A 2,600-nucleotide genomic window follows, 5' to 3' on the forward strand; every position below is an offset into this window, starting at 1 on the left:
ATGGTGATGTACAGATGGGTTTTCAGTGTGTATGTCCTTTCTGTTTGTTAGTTTTCCTTCTAACAGACAGGACCCTCAGCTGCAGGTCTGTTGGAATACCCTGCCGTGTGAGGTGTCAGTGTTCCCCTGCTGCGGGGTGCCTCCCAGTTAGGCTGCTCGGGGGTCAGGGGTCAGGGACCCACTTGAGGAGGCAGTCTGCCGGTTCTCAGATCTCCAGCTGCGTGCTGGGAGAACCACTGCTCTCTTCAAAGCTGTCAGACAGGGACATTTAAGTCTGCAGAGGTTACTGCTGTCTTTTTGTTTGTCTGTGCCCTGCCCCCAGCGGTGGAGCCTACAGTGGCAGGCAGGCCCCCTTGAACTGTGGTGGGCTCCACCCTGTTCGAGCTTCCCGGCTGCTTTGTTTACCTAAGCAAGCCTGGGCAATGGCGGGCGCCCCTCCCCCAGCCTCGCTGCCGCCTTGCAGTTTGATCTCAGACTGCTGTGCTAGCAATCAGTGAGATTCTGTGGGCGTAGGACCCTCCGAGCCAGGTGTGGGATATAGTCTCGTGGTGCGCCGTTTTTTAAGCCGGTCTGAAAAGCGCAATATTCGGGTGGGAGTGACCCGATTTTCCAGGTGCGTCCGTCACCCCTTTCTTTGACTCAGAAAGGGAACTCCCTGACCCCTTGCACTTCCCAGGTGAGGCAATGCCTCGCCCTGCTTCGGCTCGCACACGGTGTGCGCACCCACTGGCCTGCGCCCACTGTCTGGCACTCCCTAGTGAGATGAACCTGGTACCTCAGATGGAAATGCAGAAATCACCCGTCTTCTGCGTCGCTCACGCTGGGAGCTGTAGACGGGAGCTGTTCCTATTCGGCCATCTTGGCTCCTCCCCGAGAATCAGCTAATAAATATTTTTAGAAAATGAATAATGCAGTGAAAATGGGAAAAATAATAAAAATAAGAGTTGTGATTAATGCAATAGAAAGGTGCTGTTTTATTTAACTAGAATATGATTATAAAGCAAACATATCAAATAGAAATAAACAACCATCTGGAGCAGAGAACGGAAAGAGATTTTTGCTTAACCTTTCTCATTCTCAGAAAAATTAATTCCATTTTCCCCTTCTCCTTCACGTCAGCTCTTCCCTCTGCTTTAAACTATAGGGTCTGCTGCCATGCAAAAGGTGAGTACCATCCTATGACAAAGAGTGGCAAGCCTAGAAAGTCAAAGGAACCCATCCACAGAGCACCCACAGACATCCTGTTGGGAACCACTGACTGTGTGGGTTTAATTTGCTCGTACATACTGCCTCATAGAGAGAAAAATAAAATTTGGAGAAATCAGAAGTTATTAAACACAAGTACTCAAAAGGATTGGCACAGACTGGTGCTGAGCAGTCTAGCAAAGGAGGTCATGATGTACACCAGCTTCCTTCAGCCTTTGCCAGCAGTATATGCTCATCTCATCATTAAGCAAGGCTCTTAAAATCCCCAAAGAGCAGACCTCTTTTTGTGGAGATTAAATAAAGATTTTAGCTTGAATTTCTATATCTTTAACTTGTGTTAAATCTAAACCCTTGCAGACTTCCTTATTTTCCACCCAATTAATGCATAACATGGTTCAGTAGCTCTGACTTTACCCTGGTAGCCTGATTATGGTAATGTGAACATTGGCTCATACCACTGTTCCTAAGAGTGCTGTGCTGTGTTGGAGCCAAACATCAGAAACAATCTCTCATTGTTGTGGGATGGAGGGTGGAGATATATTTGCATGTGTGTAGATATATATATTGATATGTGTGTGTGTGTGTGTGTGTGTGTGTACGTATACATAAAACGATGGATTTTGACCCAGGAAGAGGAAGAGTGGTGGCTGAAGCACCAGGAACTCATGTACTTGTTCTTTGTACACACCAGGAGAATCAGGGTTGAAATACTCTTCCTCTCTCCTGACAGTCTGGTGTTATTTAGGATTAAAGTGCTCTAGTTCAGTGGTCCCCAAACTTGCTCATCACTAAGAGTCACCTACGTGCTAGTTAAAACTATACATTACTGAAACTTTCTCTAGAGCTTCTGTTTTGTTTGGTCGGGGATATAGCCTAGGTTTCTGTATTTTTAACTTGTGTACCTAGGGCAACTTTATGATTAGACATGTTTGGAAAACATTGCTCTACCTAGTTCCAAGGTCTAACAATTTTAAACTGAATGTTCACATAGCCTTTTGGGATTATTCTTATTGTTGTCCATAAGACTTACCTGACTTCTCCAATAACCCCAGGAGAAGAATGTGGTATTCATTAGTTTGCCATATTTACTTAGTATACCTCTATTTCTTAACCTCTTTAAGCCTGGTTTTCCCACTTGAAACATGGAGAGAATAGTAATAATAATACCTATCTCAGAGAGATTTTTACAGAATGCAATAAACTAATGCTTATAAAACACTTAACATAGGACCTAGAACAAAGTAAGGCTGCAATAACATCAGCTATGATTATTATTATTTCATACCACACACTTTTTACTTGCCTAATGTGATAAATCATTTGGAAAAGTGTTGCCATTATTCTCTTCTCTGTACCAGGGCTCTATGCCATGTGGCTTTGTAGCAACTCCCATC

General features: G+C 44.5%; 2 annotated features.

The window, feature by feature from the left end:
- Positions 1 to 624: an enhancer, noted in NCBI's record as "NANOG-H3K27ac-H3K4me1 hESC enhancer chr4:142803658-142804281 (GRCh37/hg19 assembly coordinates)". NCBI's record gives its function as "activates a minimal SCP1, AML or CMV promoter by ChIP-STARR-seq in naive and primed H9 embryonic stem cells {active_cell/tissue: H9 hESC(naive and primed)}" and the evidence as "EXISTENCE:reporter gene assay evidence [ECO:0000049][PMID:30033119]".
- Positions 625 to 1,247: an enhancer, noted in NCBI's record as "H3K27ac-H3K4me1 hESC enhancer chr4:142804282-142804904 (GRCh37/hg19 assembly coordinates)". NCBI's record gives its function as "activates a minimal SCP1, AML or CMV promoter by ChIP-STARR-seq in primed H9 embryonic stem cells {active_cell/tissue: H9 hESC(primed)}" and the evidence as "EXISTENCE:reporter gene assay evidence [ECO:0000049][PMID:30033119]".

This window comes from Homo sapiens, chromosome 4 (assembly GCF_000001405.40).
Source record: "Homo sapiens chromosome 4, GRCh38.p14 Primary Assembly".
Lineage (NCBI taxonomy): Eukaryota > Metazoa > Chordata > Mammalia > Primates > Hominidae > Homo > Homo sapiens.